This window comes from Homo sapiens, chromosome 10 (genome assembly GCF_000001405.40).
Source record: "Homo sapiens chromosome 10, GRCh38.p14 Primary Assembly".
Classification (NCBI taxonomy): Eukaryota; Metazoa; Chordata; class Mammalia; order Primates; family Hominidae; genus Homo; species Homo sapiens.
The window spans coordinates 95,471,143-95,493,906 of record NC_000010.11 but is presented as its reverse complement, the minus strand read 5'-3'; the positions used below and the strand labels follow the sequence as shown (position 1 = coordinate 95,493,906).

General features: G+C 42.7%; 1 protein-coding gene across 76 annotated transcripts in view; it reads left to right on the top strand.

The window, feature by feature from the left end:
* The window catches only part of SORBS1 (sorbin and SH3 domain containing 1), a 249,599-nt gene that overhangs the window by 67,465 nt on the left and 159,370 nt on the right, over positions 1 to 22,764 (top strand). For 72 of the 76 annotated variants that reach the window (NM_006434.4, NM_001034957.3, XM_017015539.2 and 69 more), the window contains one exon: positions 2,787 to 2,872. The exons of 1 other annotated variant lie outside the window; for it this stretch is intronic. The gene's annotated coding sequence lies outside the window, so the exon portion shown is untranslated. Of the gene's footprint in view, positions 1 to 620; positions 743 to 2,786; positions 2,873 to 22,764 lie in introns of all 76 variants that reach the window. 3 more of the 76 variants (NM_001384457.1, NM_001384454.1, NM_001384463.1) reach the window with 1 other exon arrangement.

Here is a 22,764-nt window from a genome sequence, read left to right as displayed (position 1 = left end):
CTTTTCATATTGGACATCGCAATCACCTGTGAGGAGGTTCTGGACAGTGCTTGGACCTCTAAACCATAGATTTTGATTTAATGGCTGTGGTACATAGGGGGTTATTTTGTTGCTGTAGTTCTGCAGGTGTTTCTAATTTTCAGCCATACTCAGGAACCTGCCCACTAGTTACTGATTCAGGGAAGCTCTTCCGATTCTTCAGGTGAATTCTGCCTGTTTGTTTCCTCATACGGGCCTTGAACCGGAACCCTACCCTTGACCACGTGTTTGGTCTTTACTCCTCTGTGTGCTGCTTTCCAGCCTGTGTTTTGGAGTGCTTTTCCCCGGCTTTGCCTCAGCCTAGATCAGGGCTGGTGACTCACTTCTTTCTTATCTATGAAGAAAAGGAGAACTCCATGTGGGGATTTTGATGGGCAGATATTCTGGAACATTTTTCACAAGGCTTCCTGCTTGAGGCTCAAATGCATAGTAGCTTCTTGCTGCGGAAATCCAGGTCCTGGGGTGGAGATAGACAGGGCAGCCTTGTGACTGGTATGAGAAAAACATCTTTATTTACTGTCTTTTGTCCATCATGAAAGGCTTAGTATTTCTTTATTTCTTTTTTCTTTTTTTTTTTTGAGACGGAGTCTCACTCTGTCGCCCAGGCTGGAGTGCAGCGGCGTGATCTTGGCTCACTGCAAAGTCTGCTTCCCTGGTTCAAGCGATTGTCCTGCCTCAGCCTCCTGAGTAGCTGGGATTACAGGTGCGTGCCACCATGCTTAGCTAATTTTTTATTTTTAGTAGAGATGGGGTTTCACCATGTTGGTCAGGCGGGTCTCAAACTCCTGAACTCATGATCCACCCATCTCGGCCTCCCAAAGTGCTGGGATTATAGGTGTGAGCCACTGCGCCTGAAGGCTTAGTATTTCTACCACTGTGTTTCTTAGGCCCTGCAGACTCTGGGACAGCAGACTCCAGGGAGTCGTAGGTAGGCATTGCCAGGGAGCAGGGCTGAATTAGTGACATTTTTGATATGGACACTTGTCAAGATAAACTTCTGTAAGTGCATATGTAGGTCTGTGGATCAAGTCCAGCAGATGTTGGGTCACGTGGCATCAGGCAGGGGCTTTTAAGACCCAGAGCTAATAGGAGATCTGGACAAGACCAAATTGTAGGGGCTCTTCTCATCTCCTTGCTTTTGCCTCCATTGTCGTCCATTTCTCACTGTGCCTGGTCCACTCCCATCCAACCTTTAGGATTTCCTGAGGCCTCTGTCCATGCTAGGAAGTATCTTTTCACCTCCACTGCATCAGGTGCCCCTGCTCAGTGCTCCCATAACACAGGTGCATACTCAGATCACTACACTTACCGTAGAGGGTTTAGCTCAGGGGTAGAGCATTTGACTGCAGATCACTACAATTACCCATTATTTTATAATTCATTTTGAGTGTCTGGATCTATCTTTTATTCAGATCAACTTGAGGGTCTTGTTCACTTTTGTATCTCCATCACCTTGCATACTTCCTGGAGTGTAATAGGGCTCAATAAATATTTGTTAAGTGAATGAATCAATAAATTCTTTGTGGGAGTGATATAAATAAGTACTATCAAGATCTTATTGTTGAACATTGCTTACTTATTACAGTGCTGTTACCTTGTACATAAACTTATTTACAGTCTTGTATTGAAGATGCATGTTAGGGGAGATTTTTCTAGCATAAAGAGTACTCAAGACCGTTTAGGACACTGAGCACTTTTGATGTATGGCAAGCATTTTAGTGGAAAGTGGGGTGCTTCAACTGTATTTCCTTGACTTTAATACTTCTCTGAAAGTATTATTTTTGATAATTATCTTTAATTAGTTAATTGTGTGTGTGTACTTGTTTATTGTATTAATTTTTTTGCTTAATAGTATAAGACTAGTATGTAGTCCAGCATAGTGTACGAGTCCTGGATTAGGCAATCGAGAGACCTAGATTGACCTCTGCATCTAACTATGGGAGTGGGCAAGTCAGTTTCCTGCTTACATTTAATTCATGTAAAGTGGGAGTGTTGTACTTCTTTGGGGGTTGCAAATGTCTACAGGAGTGAGGCTACCAACTTGAGTTATTATATGGGCTCTACCATTTTTTTTTTCTTGGAACTAGGCCCCTTTTGTTTTCCCACTTGTGTTAGAATTATAAGTAGAAGAAAATATTTCTGTACCGCAAGAAAAAAATAATGCAAGGGCAATGACTAATGACAACCCCAGTTCTTCTCTGTGTGGAGGAGACAATAGGGAGTGGTGGGGACTGTGGTATATTGGAGCGGCCAAGCCTGCCTATGAAGGGTGACTGCTTTTAATGCTTAGCACCACCTGATCATTTTAAGACATAAATGTGGGCCATGTTGACAGGTCTGATTTTTTTTTCTTTCTTTAAGAGAAGCCAGAAATCTGGGTTTTTGTGTGATAGCTCTGATTTTTATGTTTGGCTCAGATTTTCTAAACATATCCATAGATGAAATGTAACACTTCCACAGGTTGGATGTCACCCCTTGTGCTTTCAGTTTGTGATCTCCATTAAAGATGATCTCTAAAGCTGCCTTCTGCCCAAGATCCTGTGATTCTAATGGGGACCATTTCAGCTGGTGAATTAAAGATCCTTGTTCTACTTTGGGAAGTCAGAGTGGGGAAGGAAATCGGGCTACAAGAGATAGGGGTTTATGCCTAAATTGCCTGGCAAATGGTGTTTAAATGAGTCCTGTTGGGGAGAGGCCACAGGGTGCCTGTGATTCACACCAGGTGTTTTGTACATTTGTCATTGCAGGAGTTGGCATCCTTTGGAAGAGTTCGTGAAAGCTTTCTGCCCAGAGCTCCTGGACCAATGCATCTTCCCACCACCTTAAACCACTGGTGAATATATGTGTTTTTTTCCTTCTTCTCAGTGAAGGGAAATGCTTTGTTAACTGTAGAATGCGATTTGCAGAGAACTATGCTGTCCTTTCTATTATAGAAGGAAGTATACTGGGCTGGGCCTAGGCATATCTGGGTTTTGGTACTTACTTGATTCTGCCATTTTTACTGTGGGATTGTAGGTGAATTCTTTGACCTCCCAGGCCCCAGACAGAGAAACATATCCTGCTGTTTACAGGATATGTTTGCTTTGCAGACTAAAAGAGATAATCCATGCAAGAAGTAATGTATGCACGAATGCTTATATTTTCCCAGGGAGAATAAAGTCCTGGGCAAATAGAAGGTAATACTGTTTGGCTCTGAGATGTAGAGCAAGGCAGTTCTCCCCCTATCTGCTACATTTATTAACTTTATTAACACACTTTTTCAAGTTGGAATTCCAGATATAAGTGTTACAGTGTAGCTGCCATAGTCAGCCCAATTCAACTGACCACCAGTTAGGGGCTTCCTGCCTTGACTTTTGTGATGTTCACAGACACCTTCATCTGCCAGTCTCATAGGGGTTTTCAAGCAGGGCACTTCTGAGCCAACAGATACATTAAAGTGTGAAACTGATATGTTGGAAATAATGGGTTTTAAATACTTATTTTCTGAGACTTTCAGAGTGGTTCTTCAAGAGATTTCCATTCTCTCTTTTTTTTTTCCCTTCCTACCACTATAGCTACCATTTTCTTGAAAGATGAATTAACGACATTTCACAATTACCTTCATTTTTATTTGAGATCAGAGAATTTCACAGTTAACAAATGTTCTTCCTTTTTTTGAAAGAAACTTAATTACTCATCACAGCAGGTACATGTCTTGCCTCTATGACAGTTGAAAGAGGCAAAAATATGTCCTTAATAACAGTGTGTTCCAGTGCTGAGGTGAGAGTGCCTCCAGGTATGACAGCTAGTGGATGTTGGAGGTCTTAGGTGAGATATTGAGGGAAAGGACCACCATGGGCCAGGGACGCTGAACAACCCATGCATCTTTATTTGAGCTACTCTTTGTAGAGAAAAGCTGGCCTGTTTAACACTACCTGGTCAGCTCCTATGATGTGGATCAGGTGCTCCTGTGACCTACTGAGACAGATCCCAGTGGGATGGCCACTGGTGAGTTTGCAGGATGCTGGGGGTTGGAATAGGAAGGAAGGGCAGTCAGTTAGGTAAGCAGGCCCAGGATTAGGGAACCAGATCAGCCACAGGAGGCTGGCTGTCTAGACTCCCCTGTCCAAGGGGACACAGTGACATTCTGAGTCCCAGAACCTGAATCCCATCTGGTAGGCAGGAAGGGCTCTGTAGTGGAAGTCCTCAGGGAAGCAGATGGCATCAGGTAGCAGGACACTTATGTATTCAACAAATATGTATTAATGCCTGCTCTGTGCCAAGGCACTGTTCTGGGGATTCAGTGGTCGTAAGATAGACTGTGCCTATGCCTCCCTGGATCTTAGATTTGAGTGGGAATGATACATAAGAATGTGAGCTCCATGAGGACAGGGGTCTTTGCTTGTCTTGTCTTGTTCACTGTTGTATCCTCAGCTCTTAGAAGAGCACCTCACACCTGATGGGTGTTCACTAAGTATTGTGAGCAATACTTATGAAGGAAGCAAACAAATAACTAAATAGACAATATAATTTCAGGTGGTAATGAGTGGTATGAAAACAGTAAAACAAGGTGAAGGGCTGGCGGGGCTCTTTTTGAAAGAATGGTCTAAAAAGGCTTCTATGTATGTGAGAGAGAAAAAGAAGGAGATTGGTTTTGTGCAGAGACCTGAGTGGAGTAAAGGAACCAGGGGAGGAGAAGTGTTCAGGCAGAGGGAATAGCAAGTGAAAAGAAAGGCCTTTGACGTAGGATAAGCTTGGCTTAGTAGAGGAGCAGTTTGGCTGGACTTGGGCTGGGGGGTGTTCATAGGGAGGGAGAGTGATGTGAAATAAGAGCAGTAGGTGAGAGCCAGACCCTGTAGGCCATGGTAAGGAGTTTGATTTTTACTCTGAGAGTGATTGGATTCCATAGTCCATGTGATCTTCTTTGTGCTTTAACATTTTTCCTCTGGATCCTGAGTGCAGAATAGATGCTAGGGGCAAGAGTAGAATCTGTATAACCTATCGGAGGTCCTTCCAGTGGTCCAGGCAGGAGATTAGGGTGTGGCTTGGATTAGAGTAGTGATGATTGAATGATACGAAGAAGCGGTCAGGCTCAGGATACATTTTGAAGGTAGAGCCTTCTAGGTTGCATGTGGCATGTGAGTAAAAACAAGAGTCAGGATTAGTCCAATGTTTTTGGCTAGGTGAATGACGTTGCCGTTCACTGAGATAAGGAGCAAAGAGGGACCCTAAGGGTTCTGTTGGGCCGTCTTAGGTTTGAGATGCTCATTCAATATTCTCATAAAGATGTAGAGTTGGCTGGGGCTGGAAATGGTATCTCTCATAGTCATTGGCATGTAGATGATATTTAAAGCCATGAGACTGAATGAGATCATCTAGGGAGAGAAAGGAAGAGATGCGTAGGATTTTTGACAGAGGAAAGAGGGAAGACGAAGGCAAAGGGTATATTTTCCATATAAAGTCCCCACTAAGAAGTAAATAAAGACATGCTAATGAATATGGTTTCCATTTTATGCAAATATGAATTATACAAATGAGATAATATGATATAAAAGTAGTCATAAAGTCTCACCTTATGTAAAAAGTTTGAAGTGCTGTGACTTCCCCAAATCAAGAAAATTAGTTTCAAGATTGCATAATTATAAATCTGGTCAGCTGAGTGAATTATTAGCAAGCAGGAACATCCAGCAGCCTTTGCCAATAGCCTGTAAGCTACATTGCTCTTAGGCACTGGAACTTCTACAAGCCATTTCAATGACTAAATTTAATTTACTGTTATTACATTTCAGGTATTTTTCTCATTCAATAGTTATATCATCCAAAAGTTCATTGAGGGTTCACTAAGTGAAAACATACCTGAAAATCAGTAATTTTGCAATGAAAAGTTAGACATCATAAAATTTTCTGAAGAAGGCCAAACAGGCACCATGATTTACAGGGCTAGAAGTTAGAAGATATTTATGATTATCTTCAAAATATCAAGGATAAATGCTACAAGATAACAAATATACTGTGATGGTTGTGGTAGATAGTTGCATTCCACCTGTACCCCTCAACTGCCATTGACTGATACGAGAAAATCAGTTCTGACTCATGCACATCTTCATCTATTTGTGGGCTTCTGGCATAAAATGCAGCTGTCCCATATTTGCTTTGTCTGTTTCCCAGACAAATCGTCTCATTGAGCTTCTTCCATCTCCTCGTTGGGCGCCTTAGTTTTCCCATTTTGAGGCTCCTAGTGAGTTCCTTTAGTCTTGCAGTCTCCAGCTGCCATAGACATTTTTGCCTCTTCCCACCATCACTGGCTCCAAAGCCTATTTGCCTCCTCCTCCGACTGCCTATGTGAGCCTTCCTCCGTCTGACTGCCTTTGTGAGCCTTTCAGTTTAGGAACCCCCCAATCCCCCTGCCCTCAAAGCTTTTGAATATCCTCACAATTTCCTTCTTTGAAAACATTTTCACTCCTTCCCTCAACCCCAACCCCATGTGGTCTTCTCAGGCCTTTTGTGGAAATGATGATGAGAGAGGGCAGGGTGATCAGCAGCATTCTAGAATGGGGTCTGGCCCTCCCGTGGGCATGGGCAGTGCTGACTTGCTTCTACATGTATTTCAAGACTCCCCAGCTTGAGTGAAAACACTCTGAGTGGTACTTCTGGAACATGTAATCTCTAGAAAATGAACATTAATTGTGTAGTGTTCTGTCTATGACCAACGGTTTATGGCAAATGAGGGTTTCAGTGGAATGGTATTTATAATGAATGGCATCAACCCTGGTTTTCATTTGTTGTCTTTTCTCACAGAGTGGAACTTAAATAAAATTAAAAAGAATGAAACTTACTGGCAATCATAGGGGGAGGATTTTTCCTTCTGATTCCTCCTTCAGTAAGTGATTTCAGGAATAAAAAAGGTATGGGATCTTCCTATGCCCCTGGAGACTTAGAGTGGTGGGACATTAAAAAACTGGTGGTATCCTTCGTAAGTTAAACACACACACAGACACACACACAAACAAAAAAACCGCTGAGGCTGTAGAATAGTCTTCAGTGCTTGTATATTTGTAGACCATCTCAGGAGGAGAGGCCTGAGATGGGTAGCTACTTAAAATTTTTTTGTGTGTTATGTTTATATATTATATTTAAAAAGGATAATAATAGTATCCCTTTTATTCTTTATAAATGATCTAGAAACATTGAAAGTTTCCTCACCAGTTGGTTTATAACTCCTCTTGCTCAATATGTCTTTTGATTGAGGGCATTGCCTGTTCACAGTGCCTTTAATTGGTCTGAGGCTTCACATTCATTAACGGCTTGGGACTAGAGTACTTTGACTTGAGTTTCAAATTTTGCATGTATGGGGATATGTCAGGCCAATTTCTTTCTTCCATCCTTTCCCTTATTTCTAAAAAGGATTTAAAGCTGTTTGTGCTCAATATTTTCTTTTTTCAGCAGCTTTAGACAAATATGGATTTGAAATGAGGTGGTCGCCATGAGTTGAGCCACAGATTATGGCCATTTCAACTGAACATCTCACTGCTGCCCTTTAGAACAAGGTCTTCTTGCATTGTGGAACAGAACAGGATTTGGAATCCTTTGTGATTGATAGTTTCTAACCGCGGAGTTCAGACAAATTAAAAAGCAATCCAAACCCATTTTCTTTATCTTAAGAATTCCAGCTACCCTAGGAAAATGCTCAAAATAGAATTTGTATAAGTTGCCACCTCTCTGAAAGAGTAGGGTGGCAACTGAATTCTAATTCGGTGTCCAGAACCAATGATGCCAGTCACCACACTGCTGTTTGGAGTGTGTGCTATTGGGGGCAGCTTCTCAGGGGTCATTGTCTAGAAGTATCTCCCTGGGCTGCCATATTGCTTTATATCACCAGAGGTTCATAAGGCCACTTTCTGGCCAAAGTTATTGTGACCTACAATGACATGATATCCATTTCACACAACAGCGACATCTCTTAGGTGTTGGTGTTTCTCCAAGAGATTTACACATTTGCATTTGTACTTTTTAAACAAACAGGAAGTTGTAGCACATTTGCCAGCCACATGTAAAAACAAGATACTTTCTCTTTTTCCATCTAGTGACTACAAATAGAGAGTGGAATACATTTTTTGTCTTTCCTTTTTTTTTCTTTTTTTTTGCCCTGGTTTGGAGAAGTAAACATTAAATTGTGTTGGGGTCGTCACTAAAACAAGGAGATCAGCATCATCTCCGGTGATTACTGCTCGTCATGGGAAGAAATCATTCTGATTGTTCCACTGACTAATTTAGACAAGGCACCATTTGATGCCTACTTCACAGCAGTGCCCTCATCCTGCTGTCTCCTTATCAACATAGAGATGACTCACTCCATGTTTTTCTCACTCAGAGAGAATTTCTCTAGTCTACTGATTATGGCAGTGATTAAATAAAAAATGATTCCTGCAGAGGTGTGCTTGAAAAAAATGATTGTATTATTTGTGCTTGTTGAACTTTGGATAATTCAGCATTCACTATTATAATCAGTAAGATATTGGTTTTTAGGCTTTTTGGGTAAAGGGTCAGGAACCCCTTTAAGGTACATATGCACGTACACAATTTCCATGTATAACACTTCTACATTTTTAGGAGATGACATTCCCCTGCCCAGTTACCATGCTTAGTCACACATCCCATGCTAAATGTGCTTCTGGATAGCTCTGTGTGGCAGGTAGGTGCCTGCTGTAAAAGATGGCTTTTCTGATTAGATCTAGGTGAAAGACTGGGGAAGATAGCTATGTTCAAGGCAGCCTAACTTCAATAAAATTTACAACTTCCAGAATTGTCCCAACATGGACTCAAAAGTTGGAAATAGTCTCTTATATGAGTTGCTAATCCTTTTAATTTAAAAAGGAAGCAGAAGCACCTTTACACTTTTTGTTTCCTTTCTATTTGAGACAGGGTCTCGCACTGTTGTCCCGGCTGGAGTGCAGTGGTGCGATTATGGCTCATTGCAGCCTCGACCTCCCAGGCTCAAACAGTCTTCCCAATCAGCCCCGTTAGTAACTGGGACTGCAGGTGTGCGCCACCATGCCCAGCTAATTTTTGTATTTTTTTGTACAGACAGGATTTCACCATGTTGGCTAGGCTGGTCTTGAACTCCTAGGCTCAAGCTGTGCACCCACCTCTGCCTCCCAAAGTGCTGGGATTACAGGTGTGAGCCACCACGCCCAGCCCCTTTTTGTTTTCTAACAGCTAATTTCATTTTCCAGCAGATTTCATGTTTCTGGACATTGTATTTATTTGTTCCCTGAATTTATCATATTTATAGCATTTTGTCTTCTGTGGCCAGATTGCAAGCTAGCTGGCCACAAAACACCAGTGTTTTAAAAGTTTTTAAAGTAGTGGCCAGAGTTTTAAAAATCAGAAAATCTTACATAATTTGATTTCTAACTACTCATGAAAAACTAGAATATCTAGCAGTACTGGGCTCTATTCTTGCATGGGACAGTGGGCTGGAATGGAACAGAGGTTGCCCCCTCAGGAGGGAGTCCAATTTGCTGTGGTCCCCACATCACCTGTTTGCTACCTGTTTGATCCTCTCAGGCTTTTGGTTTTGTCACCCCTGACTTACTGTTCGTTTAAAATCTTATCCTAAAAAATCAAGAGATCTTTAGGTTCAACAAAACAACCTTTTTTTTTGTTGAAATGGAGTCTCACTCTGTTGCCCAGGCTGGAGTGCAGTGGTGTGATCTCGGCTCACTGCAACCTCCGCCTCCCAGGTTCAAGCGATTCTTATGCTTCAGCCTCCCCAGTAGCTGGGACCACAGGTTGCACCACCATGCCCAGCTAATTTTTGTATTTTTAGTAGAGATGGGGTTTCGTCATGTTGGCCAGGCTGGTCTCGAACTGGTCTCAACCTCAAGCTATCCGCCCACCTCAGCTTCCCAAGGTGCTGGGATTACAGGTGTGAGCCACCACGCCCAGCCTGATACCTCTCTTTTTAAATAAGGAAACTAAAATTTAAATGATAGGGAAAAAAATGTTGGGACAGTAGGGTGAAACAAATATTTTTTTCTTTAAATAAATTTGTGTGTTTTATGGCTGGGCCTGGTGGCTGATGCCTGTAATCCCAGCACTTTGGGAGGCCGAGGTGGGCGGATCACCTGAGATGAGGAGTTCAAGACCAGCCTGGCCAACATAGTGAAATCCCGTCTCTACTAAAAATACAAAAAAATTAGCCAGGCATGGTGGCGGGCACCCATAATCCCAGCTATTCAGGAGGCTGAGGCAGGAGAATTGCTTGAACCTGGGAGGCAAAGTTTGCAGTGAGCCGAGATGGCGCCATTGCATTGCACTCCAGCCTGGGCAGCAAGAGCAAAACTACATCTAAAAAAAAAAAAGAAAGAATGGAATTTGTGTGTTTTTAACTAAGAGGAAGGAAAGAAAGCAACAATGTAATTTTTAAAAAGTATTCTTTACAAATATCAAGTCATTATATTAGTTTTGAAACATATAATGTCCTTTGTATAATGTGATTTACTCACAAAAATACCATGTTGGGAACATTTATACAAATTTACTAATTACATTTGCTCTTAAATATTTTCATTTTATTTTTCAAATAGAAGTGAACTACTGAACTCAAAGGAGTTGAATGTTTCTTAGGTTTTTTTCCTTTTAATAGACAAAAATATAAAACTGGACAACAGAAGTCACCAGTGTTTTAATGAAACAAAGAATTAGTTTTTGGGTCTGGTACCTTCTAAAGCATCTGTAGATTTTAGAAAAGGAATTTCACACCACCACCACCACCAAGAAAGCCCAACCAACCTAAAACTTGAATAACTGAACTTAATCCGAGTCATTCCTATTTTATGAGCCATCATGATCCACAGTTTCTGTTTCTTCTCATGTCGTCGTTTCCTTTCTGAAATCATTCTTGTAGACTGCTGAAGACTAAATGCTAGCCCAGATGGAGACTGAATTTCAACCTTTTTCATTTTTGGCTTCTTGGTTTTGGGGTGAGAGTTCATCAGACTGTTGGTATACGTGACTTGCCACCAACTCTACAGCAACCTGCTGTCTCTGAGCTTTAGTTGTTTCTGAGATAAATGAGATCATGTCTGGGCCTTCCTCAAGCTCTGACATTCTAGAATTCCACTATTCTGTCACATACTGCACATACTCAGTGCTGGGTAAACCTGGAGTACTGGCCATGTAACAACTTCTGTGGGGTTCAAAGGGCAGAGTCTCAGTAGAGATGGGTTCCTAATGTCATCGTTTATTTCTCATGGCTGCCAGTAATAAACACGAAAGAAGAACTAAATATAGTGAGTTATGTACTCACCAGCTCATGGTATTATCCTGAACTTGCCGCACTGAGAGGAAATTCTGTAGCTCTGTTTAGTAGATGGTACAGAGTAAACCCCAGGCAGAGAGTTTTCATCTTCTTGTCATCCCGCAGAATATTTCTGATGACTAGAGCTCTCAGGTCTGTAAGCCTACCCGTCTTCACCGGTGCTCATGAGACTTGGACTACCCTAATACTTGGATTTTACAATCCTGGGTTATATTGTTTCTTAATTTTTTTTTGTGGTGGGTCCAAAGCCAGTTGAACACCATCTCTTGGCTCTGATGAGTCAAAATTGTGACCAGGACAAAAATTAAATGGCACAGAGGCTTTAGCAGAGAAAACAAAACATTTTGTAGAACATGCTCAGCACAGGATGGTGTAATGGAGGCTGCAGGGGGTGTTTTGCTGTGGGCCTGTGTTAGCAGTCATTGGCTAAGAGCTTATAATGGCACTTAGAGCATGGTACAAATGTATATACACACCCACAAAGTATAGTGTACTATATGTGCAATATACTAAACCTGTTGTGCTTGTATTTTATACTAAATATATTGTTTTAGGAAGTTATTTCCAAAATAGCCAAAATACATCATTAGAATGATTCAGCACTGCTCAGGTTGGCATTAAGTGGGCTGTGTGTGTAGGAGCAAAGGAGGGACCAGAGTTTTGAAAACTCTGGTTTTAGAAAGGATCTTCTTGGCTGAATTCTAGACTGTGTTCCTGGTTCCTAAGCCTGATAATACTGTGTATTTTGCAGCTCTTTAGATTGCCTCAAATTCATTGATTTGTTTATTCATTTATTCAACCAACACATATGGAGTAGCTCTAATATTTACACAGGGCCTTTTGGCATGCGGAGTACATTCATATACCTTATCCCACCTAAGTGTGCTTGTTTCAGAGCCCAGTCACATGCATGGGCAACAGCCTGCATTGATGCATTGATTGATGAATGCAATCTCTATTTCTTCATAGAGTGTTTCTCTTTGCTTTCTGTTGTGCTTGTAAGCAGAGATATACGTGGTTTTGTCTGCACCATGTAGAAAGGAACTTAGGACAGGTGGGCAGGAGGGTTGCTATGGGAGTTGTGCTGGACAGTCATTCCCAGGAACAGAGGAGGTAGGAATCATCGACTAAGCATGAGATTGGGGTGGGTGGGAGGGATGTGATTGTGGCTTTGAGGAAGATGGAAACTATTTGGAACAGCTGACATGGGTTGGGCATTGGGGGCTGAGCAAGAGCTGAAAGCAAGGCCTGCTGGGTGACTGAGTGGAAGCTTCTGTGTCAGCAGGTGTGGCCTGGATGTGTAGGGCGGCAGGTGGAGCTAGATGAGACTCAGGGACAAAAGGAGAGGGCTGGGGGCAGGGGTGGGATGGTTGCTTGGCTGTTGACATAAGGGGACTTGGAGGAGCTGTTTCTGACCCTGATGTGGCCATATAGGGAGTTGTTGAGGTGAACAGCAGGGGAGGTACAGGGGCCCCGGGGGTGCTTGGCAGTAGCTTTTCTTAGTTTGGCTTATAAGGCCTTTGATCTCTTAGCACTCCTCCCACCCCACATGCCCTACTGGGCCATTCCTGAGTGCATACTATCATGTGTACATACTATTCCTTTTTTTCTTTCCTTTGGCCTAATTACCTCCTACCTCAAGTGTTAGCCCAGGAATCACTCCCGGGCAACTGTTTCTGATTGCTGTCTGCCCTCTCCTCTGCTGGAACCCTTCACCCTGTGCATGCATCTCTCCCTTTGTACTGTACAGACTCATTTGTAAGTCTCTCGCATATGTGGATTGGAAGGTTCCTTGGGTGCAAGATTGTGCCTCGTACCCAGCGGAGGACCTGGCATGCAGAATGTGTTCATGAAATGCTTGCTGAGTGGATGCATAACTCTTTTGTTGCATCATTAGTAGCATAACAGAATGATAGAGCTGAAAGACACCTACAAGATCAGCTAGTCTAAGTCATTTGTTTCATAGTTCACAGAGAATTGAAACTCAGAGGGGTTGAATGCCTGGCCTGAAGTCACACAGCTTGTCCTAGGCTGAGCCAGGACTCAAGTTCACCTCCTCTGACTCCAAATGCCATGCTCTTTCCACCACACCACAGTGTTCTCCAAATGTCTTTTATGTGTGTGAAGACAGCAGCCCTCTGCGTCTGCTTAGTGCCTGGATACAGCCTAATATCACTATTCGTACTGTTATCTAACTTTTCTCATCGGGAGGAAAACTATGTTCTGACCACGCGGGGAGCTTTTCCTCTGCGTGCATGGAGCCAGGTTTACAACAGGCCTTACCTCACTGCTTCCCCTTCCCTTTCCGGTTTGTCCTAGTTTATCTTTGGGCAGGGTAAGCATCAGCAACTGTTTCTAAGTAAATAGAGGAATTGCAGATTCAGGATTTGTGGTTTCAAGTATTCAGTGTCTTTTGCTTCAGCCCGTCCCCTCCTGGCTGCCATCACTGCCTCCCCTGTCTCCACATTGCCCCGATTTAGCATGTGTTGAAGACTGGTAGTGCACGATGGAGGTTTCTTTCTTGGGGCAAGCAGAAGAACCAACAGAGCATTGAAAAGGGAATCTTTGAGAGAGAGAGAGAGAGAGAGAGAGAGAGAGAGAGAGAGAGTGGGCATGTCTCCGAACCATTTTGTGTCAGTTAAAAAAAACAAACCAAAGTATATCTGCTGGTTTCTGGACCCATCCCTGGAAGATGGCATACAAGACGGCCATCTAGAAATGCTTGTTTGTACACCTCCCTTCTCCAAAGTGCGTCTCCGAGCTTTTGAGCAACACTGATGTTTAGTATGTTCTGTTTAGGGTTAAATTTGCAGCGTGACTGAGGCTGGGGTGTGGCTAGTTCCCTTACAGCCTGTCCATGGATGACGCAGTTTTGTGAGGTTGGTTCCAGATCGCCACGGATCATCTGACCTCTCTCCCCATCACCCTGGTCTGAAGTACCTCAGGGTCAGTTCCAGGACTGAATGCTGGGAGTGGGGCTGATTGGTTTGAACCTTTGGTCTCCTCTGTTAATTAACTAAACAGTGCATGGCTAAAAATGTCGCTTTGGGGAAAAGGGCTCTGAAGAACAGTCTTTAAATCCTTCACCACTTTAAGGAGCTCTGCAATATTGTTTCCCTTAGCGCTTGTATATTCCCCTCACCTTTTTTTTTTTTTTTTTTTTTAAAGTAAGAAGATGATGTACGATCTTCCCTTTAGCTTGGAAATCCTATGGCTTGGAACAAGCCCGGTGTCTTCAGTCTTAGAGATTTCTGAAGCCACTTTGGACCTTCTTCGCTTCTAGCCACATGGGAGCCTGTGTCTGATCCTCCCTGGGCTGGTCTTGAGTTCCAGGCATTGAGCTGGAAGTACATCAGCCAAGGATTTGGCTGTGTCAGGAAGTATTTTGATTTGCTATATTCTCTGCTTGGCATCTACTCATTTCCTTCAGGGACGTCCCCTTCCTTGGAAAAAATAGCTCCAAAGATGCTTGTCTCACTGATGAGCTAAGAAGGAGTTCCAACCAGGCGTTTCCATTCAGGGATCTTGGCTTGGCAGTCACAGGTCACTGAGTGAGAAGGGTGTCACCACACTTAAAATATTCTTAACATCCCCCTTCCCCTCCTGCCAGCAGTGGTCTTTATGCTGGCTAGTTTTGAGAATGACAGTCTGGAGACTGATCCAGCTTGGACTAGCAGGCCTTAACAAGCATGTATTTCTAAGGTGTCAGCCATCACACTGCTTGGCTGTGACCTTTAGGGGATATCCTAAGTGGCAGCCTTCCTTGCACCCTAACCTCAAGCTCTCCTCTCCTCCAGATGTGCATAATTTTCCTGTGTGGTGCCAGGGAACTGTGGTTATAAATGAGAGAGAAGGGGCTCTGTGGGGGTCCCAGAACTGTGTTGGGATCCTGTCTGTGAAGTTACGCTCATCTGAGCTACTGGTCTAATTCTATTTTTAAAAAGGGAAATTAATTGATACCTTTTGACAGTGAGCCTGTGTCAGTTTTTGGAGTGACACCAAAATAGAGTCATCACTTTCTTTTCATAGGTATTCATCTATTTAATATTCCAGGCTAGAATTCTTCAGGATGTTGATCCCAAGCTTCTTAGTGTATACTTCTAGACCCTTCTTAGTGTTAATTATTTAGTTCCTCAATTTCATCACCTTTCCTTTTCTCAGAGGTTTCTGAAGGATTACTGATAGTGATTCATCAGTGACAGTTCAGATTCTTTTAGCTGTCTATGGATGTGGTTCACCTGAGCCTGAAAACCCAAAAAGGAGTAGCTCTCACTTAAAGGGGCTGCGACTCTCCTAGCTCCACACCTGTCTTCTGCCTCAGTCACCTCTTACCAGAGTCTCCCTTTCCAGTAAGATCATTCTCATAGTTGGTGGAGGTGGAAACAACACGAGGAAGAGTGGCTTCTCTTATAATATGACGAGGGCTTCTTCAAGCAGGTCTGTTATCATACGCTTTGTTTTCTTCTTGGTCTGATCATAGATTTTTAAAAAAGAACCTCCAAAACAAAAAACCTAATGGTTATTTCAATTTCTTATGTTTTAACTCTTCCCAGACCTTAGAACAAGCTTGTCCAACCCAAGGCCTGCAGGCTGTATGTGGCCCAGGACAGCTTTGAATGTGGCCCAGCACAAATCTGTAAACTTTCTTAAAACAATATGGGATGTGTGTGTGTGTGTGTGTGTGTGTGTGTGTGTGTTGTTTTGTTTTAGCTCATCAGCTATCACTAGCATTAGTGTATTTTATGTGTGGCCCAAAACAATTCTTCTTCTTCCAATATGGCCCAGGGAAGCCAAAAGATTGGACACCCCTGCCTTAGCCTTTTGGACTTTCCTCTGACCATAAATGCTGCTGTCCTTTGTTCAGCTTTGACTCCATTCCTTCTTCCTGTGGCCTAGACATGCAAATAGGGCATTCCAATGTTAGGAGTGCTTTGCAGCCCCTTAAAAGATTTTCTAGTGCTTTCCTGGCTCCCAAATTTCCCCACCCTCTTTGGACCACAGAGTTTTTCTCCAAGCTCAGATAACCTCTGACTCCTCATTTGCCCTTCCAAAAACTTTGCTTCTCCCCATGGTGTTCTCTCTAATTTTAAGCTGTGACTGGCTTTCTGGGCTCCCAGGCATAACCATACAGGGCTGTGTTAGTGACTCAGATCAGGATTCAGCTGTGCTGACCACCCAGAACTTATTCCCACTCCTACTCCCCAAGAGACCAGCTCTTCAGGACTCCCACCCAGGGCAGGGCTGGGTGGGTCCACCAATGCCTCTGCCAGGGTTGAGTTCTCCAGGACCATCTGGGCCTCTCCCTGAGCTGAGGTACAAGACCGAGGCTGCCCAGCCCCTAGGTCAGAGACGAAAGGAAGGAACAGGCTAGGGGTGGGCTGGCAGAGAGTTCAGGCTCCCTGAGCTGGGAGTATTTGGGGAAGGGAAAAGAGGAGGAGGTCGGAAAGTTTGTGATGACTCTGAAGACTCTCAGGTTTGTCCCGGGGGGACTCAGGCCGCCAAACTGTTCACTTTTCTGCAGCTCGGTGTTGGGAGTGTGCTCTCTTTTGGAGTCACCCATCCTATTTTGGGATGACTGAGTCAAAGGAGTAGCTCTATCTTGGTGCCTGGAAGTGCCTCACATTTCCTCATTTTAGACTTGCCATTCTTTTCTTAAGGTGCTTTTCTTAAGGTGCTTAAGAAAAGCACCTTAATTCCATTATTAAAGATTCAGGATCATTAAGACTCAGGCTGGATTGAAATTTATCTCTTTACTGTCTATGGAAAAAGATTTAAGGAGAAAAATCACTGTGAGGGATGTCGATTTAGGAAAGCTTTCTAAAGAACCCACTTTAGGAATGTGCATTTGCATACAAACAATGAAAGTGCTAATTAAAATGATTCTCACATCATCATTTTAGCAGTGCAGGGACTGCTGCTTGGCAACACTTATGAAGTGGAAATGAGTGTACTTTGAAAATAATAAAATATTGTTCCATCCATTGAATCCACTAAGACATTAGGTCCTTTTATTTGCAAGGCACTGTGCTAGAACCACTGTGTGTGTTTGTATTGGTCAAGAGTATAAAACCTAGTCCTTGCTCTCTAGGGTGACCAACTGAGGGGTTTCCCTGGGATAAAAGACTATCAGGAAAGCCCGGGAAGAACCAGGTTGAATTGGGCCAAACCTACCTCGGGAGTTGAAAGGCTGGTAGGACTGAACAATGTTCCTCAAATATTTCACCTGTTGAGATAGGCCACACCTGTTCACATTGTTTTAGAAACAGCATTTTGCCCTGTAGGACGTTTTTGCCCTGGAAATTGAGTAGTCTAATTCCCTTTTAAAGCAAGAGCCCAACATTTAAAATATTTCTGTCATCATTGTCGTTATTGGCATCAGCTATCACTGGGCACCTGCTGTTTGAGGCTGGGACTTTGCCCTGGAGAGTGGGGGTGGGGCTGATCTGGCCTGGAGATGATGTGAAAACCTTTTAGCTCCTGGGCGAATAACTGCCACCTTATCTTTTTTTAAAAAAAGAATAGTGTTTTAGAACACGGAGCCTGGAGCGCAGTAGATGCAGAGTCAATATTTGTGGATTGAAGTTTATTAACTTTGTGGTTGAGAGTTCAGGGTCTGCAGTCACATAGACTTAAGTTTCAAATCCTGGCTCTGCCATTTGCCTGCTCGATGATCTTGGCTTGTGACTTACCTCTCTGAGCCTCATTTTCTTCATTTGTGAAATTGAGATAAACATAAATTTAGTTATTATATAATATTAATGTTCATATGATAATTATGACAGGCTGCATATTGTGGTATATAGTACCACAAACTCGAGTCAGGCTGCTAAAGTTCAAATCCCCCTTCCTAGTATCATAACTTCCAGCAAGTTATTGAACCTCTCTGGGCCTTAATTTTCTTATCTACAAAACAAGGATAATAATAGTACCTTTACAGAGGGTTGTTAGATGTGAGAATTGTCAAGCACCTCATCCCAGCCATAAGAAAACATTATATACATGTTTGCTAAACCTTAAAGACTGTGAAACTATTATTAATTATTTCATTTTGGTTCTTATAGAAATCCTGTGAGGTTAGATACAGGGCAAGTATTACTCCCCACTGCCTCATTCCCTATTTGTTGTTATTGCTTGTTTCGTATTTGAGGGGGAAAAATGGAGTTCTGAAAGGTTAAAGTGGTTGGCTGAAGGGAACCTGGCTAGTAAATGTTATAACTGAAACTAGAACCCATGGTACTTGCTATAAAAGATACAGGTGTGCCTATACACATTTATCGAGGGCATGAAGATATTAAGGCTTTACTGTAATAAATCTGAAGACAAGTGACTAGGGTATCTCCCTCTTCTGCACCACCACCCCCACCACCATGTGCCAGATCTGCTGGCATACTGCTAACTGATGTTCTTTGTGAATGATGGCATTGAGCTTGTGCCCTCTCATTGGGTCTCTGGGGCTTACTGAGGCAGCCAGTTTAAACCTCTTACAGATTCTAACTGCATTAAAGTTAGTGTTACCTGCTCTCTGGCTGGACTTCCTTTGGAGACCAGAAGATTCTACTATATTCCAATACCTGATTTCAGAACCCCTTAGGGGAGCCATGTCATTTGCGGGAAGCTCAGGCTTAAATAGGAATGCTCCCCTCCCCCTACCTTTCTGTTTGCAATAGAAACTCTTTATTGCTCTTGAGAAACTTAATTAGGAGAACCATATATCAGGGAGTGTAAACATAGCTTTAAAACACTTGCCAATCTCTTGTCACCTAGGCAGTTATCTTTAGATTAAAACGTTCTCATGTTTGTTCACAAACATGGGCACTTTAAAACATGCTGCCACATGAGGGGTTAAAACATAAATATTATCCTATATGAGCAAAGAAAGGTGCTTTAGTACTTAAGTCCTATTTTTGAGCTGTGGAATTCAATTCCTTCCTGTTGCCAGCTGAACCTGGGGCTCTGATGTATTAGATGAAAATATATTCCTATCTTCAAACGTGGACAACAGGACATTCTGTCCTCCAAATTTCAGTGTTTGAATTGGGTGTTACAGGAAACTTGGCACCCTCTCTTTTCAAAATAATAAACAGACATGATGTGGCTTCATGTTTCATCTGATGGGGCTTAGATGCTATTGCCTCATAAAGGCTGATTCACAGACAAATGGAGACTAATTATAGTAGCTTAAAAATAATATCGCTGTTTAAATTTGGCAAGGCAAGATGCCTCGCATGCTTTGTAGGACACGAGAGACTCCGTTTCTTTGGTGGCATGGAGGTGACATACCCATTTCTATTTCAGCCACACAGTGGTGGTGCTGGTTCATTACCTGCCATGTTTATTTTTTTTAAGGATTTCTTATGATCTCTCACATATACCCATGCACAAACATTGAACTCTCTCTTCCTATAATCTTTACAGGGAGTTCTTTCCTGCTATCTGTCCACTGCATTTTTAAGAAACAAATGTCTGGGCTGAGGAAAGTGAATGGCTTTTTGTTTTTTTTTCTAAGCATTTCAGAATCTCTACTGTGAAAAATTGCAGGAAGTTATTCACTTCTCTCTAAGGAATGGATAGAGGATGTCTGTCATAAGAGACCATTCTGATTACTTTTATTCTATCCATCTTCCCCAAAACTGTGCATTAGGTTGGAAAACAGTTTTAATTTGTTTTTGAATTTGCTTTAAATAAGTAGGTGATATACAAAATTGACCATGTGCAAAATTTAAAAATTAGTAAAAATGTTTTCAGTGAAAAGTAAATCTTCTACCTCTCTCATATCTAGGATCTAGGTACCTCTCTTTGGAAGAAATCCTGAGCACCATTTTATTCTATACTATTCTGGAGATTTTCTAGATATTTATAAATATGTATGTGTGTGTGTATATATATATTATATGTAGTTCATACAAATGGCACATATTATCTACAATTTTTTTTTTTTGAGACAGAGTCTCACTCTGTCGCCCAAGGTGGAATACAATGGTGTGATTTTGGCTCACTGCGACCTCCACCTCCCAGGTTCAAGCGATTCTCCTGCCTCAGCCTCCCGAGTAGCTGGGATTACAGGTGCCTGCCACCACGCCCAGCTAATTTTTGTATTTAATAGAAACAGGGTTTCACCATATTGGTCAGGCTGGTCTTGAACTCCTGACCTCAGGTGATCCACCCACCTTGGCCTCCCAAAGTGCTGGGATTACAGGCGTGAGCCACCGTGCCCGGTGATCTACAATATTTTGAACCATTTTTATTTAACTGTAATCTTGGAGATCATTCCACATCACACATTGAGATACCTCATTCTCTTTAACAGCTGTCTAGTTTTCCATTGAGTAGAAGTGCCATAATACATAAACAATTGCCTATGAACGGTAGTTAGGCTGTCTTAATCTTTTGTCCATAAAATCATTATATAATGAATAATTTTGTACATCTACTGTAGGATAGGTGGTCTGTCTCAGTGGTTACAAGCAGGGCTCTGGAGCCCAAGGGCCTGAGTTTAAACCCTAGTTTCTTCGTTTACTTTTTTTTTTTTTTTTTTGAGATGGAATCTTTCTCTGTCACCCAGGCTGGAGTGCAGTGGCGCAATCTCAGCTCACTGCAACCTCCGCCTCCCAGGTTCAAGCAATTCTCCGCCTCAGCCTCCTGATTAGCTGGGATTATAGGCACACGCCACAATGCCCGGCTAATTTTTTTTGTATGTTTAGTAGAGATAGGGATTCACCATATTGGCCAGGCTGGTCTTGAACTTCTGACCTCAAGTGATCCGCCCACCTTGGCCTGCCAGAGTGCTGGGATTACAGGCGTGAGCCACCGTGCCCGGCTCTTCATTTACTATTGAGGTATATATGGTCTTGGCCAGTTACTTTATCTGTCTGTGTCTAAGTGTCCTCATTTGTAAGATAGTATTTATCTTGTCGGTAGGATGTAACGGTTAAAATCACTAGTCTATCTAAGCTTATAGACCTGTGCTGGACATGTAGACAGGCCTGTTTGTATTTACTAGTGTTGTTTCATATGATCTGGAAACACATGAATCCTAAGCTATTCTTATCTCTGCCTGTTTCTGAACCATCTCAGTAGCTTTCAGAAGCCATACCACAGTTGTTGGGTCTGTGGGTTACATCGGTCTCCTTGATTTATTCAGATGTCACATTTGTCCTCCTGTCCTTCATCATTCCCTTGTTACTTTTGTGTAACATCCTGGAGAATAAGGAAGATGGTTTTTCAGGCCACTGTACTCATGGGTTCAAACCCCTTTAGAGGCATAAAATGTATTGTCAGTGGTGATAATTTTAAACAAATGGTCTGACTCCCCTCCCAACCCCAACCGCTGCCGCTCCATTCATAGTTAATTTAGAATCTTACAATACTTAAATATTTACATTTAGGCAAATATATAGCTCATGTGTATGTATGTCTCGATATTTAGTGAATTATTTCATCATGTTTTAAGTTATAAGTTGAATCTTTGGAAAAGACTGCAAAGTGTCCTCACCCTGTTTTAGTCGACTTTGGAGGTGGATGTTCCAGGGCCTTACATCACCTTAAAAGACTACCAGTTGGATTTAGACAAACCAGAGCTAAAATTGCCACATCGGGGTTTGTTAGCTGTCTGACCATGGGCAAGTCACTTAAGCTTCCAAAGCTTTGGTTCTCCATTTACAAATTGTTCCACCTCATGGAGCTTTATGAGGATAACAGGAGAGAGTAGGTGAAGGACTCAGCAGTATGCAGCACAGGGCAGGTGCTCAAGGGCCATCTGTTCTTCCCTTCCCTCTCCTGCCTTCCACTTCCTCCTGTCACTGCCTCACGGTCCCCTAGAAGTACCCTCCTTCACCCTTTCTTTTTGACACAGGATCTTGCTCTGTCACCCAGGCTGGAGTGCAGTGGTGTGATCAGAGCTCACTGCAGCCTCACCCTCCTAGGCTCAGCTGATCTTCCTGCTCAGCCTCCCAAGTAGCTTGGACTACAGGCGTGTACCACCATGCCCAGCTAATTTTTATTTTTATTTTTCGTAGAGATGGGGTCTCACTATGTTTCCCAGGCTGGTCTCAAACTCCTGGGCTCAAGCAATCCTCCCACCTGGGCCTCCCAAAGTGCTGGGATTACAGGTGTGAGCCACTGCTCCTGACCCCTCCTCCACCCTAACCTCAGCGTTCCTCCTCTCCACTCTCCTCCTGACTCATGCCCTATGATTTACCAGTGCGCTTTTTCTGCCTTTACTGGGAGGGCAGTTTACAGCTCAATTGTTGTCAATAGCATCCTACCTTAAATGTTAACCAAATGTTCAATGAATAAATGCCTGTACATGAGTGAATTAGAGGCAGGCTTATCATCTCCCTACTCCAAAGAAGTCATTACTATTTCTCTGACAGCAGTAACTAGCAACAGCTTTGCAAAATCAGAATTGGGGGCACAGTGGTGAA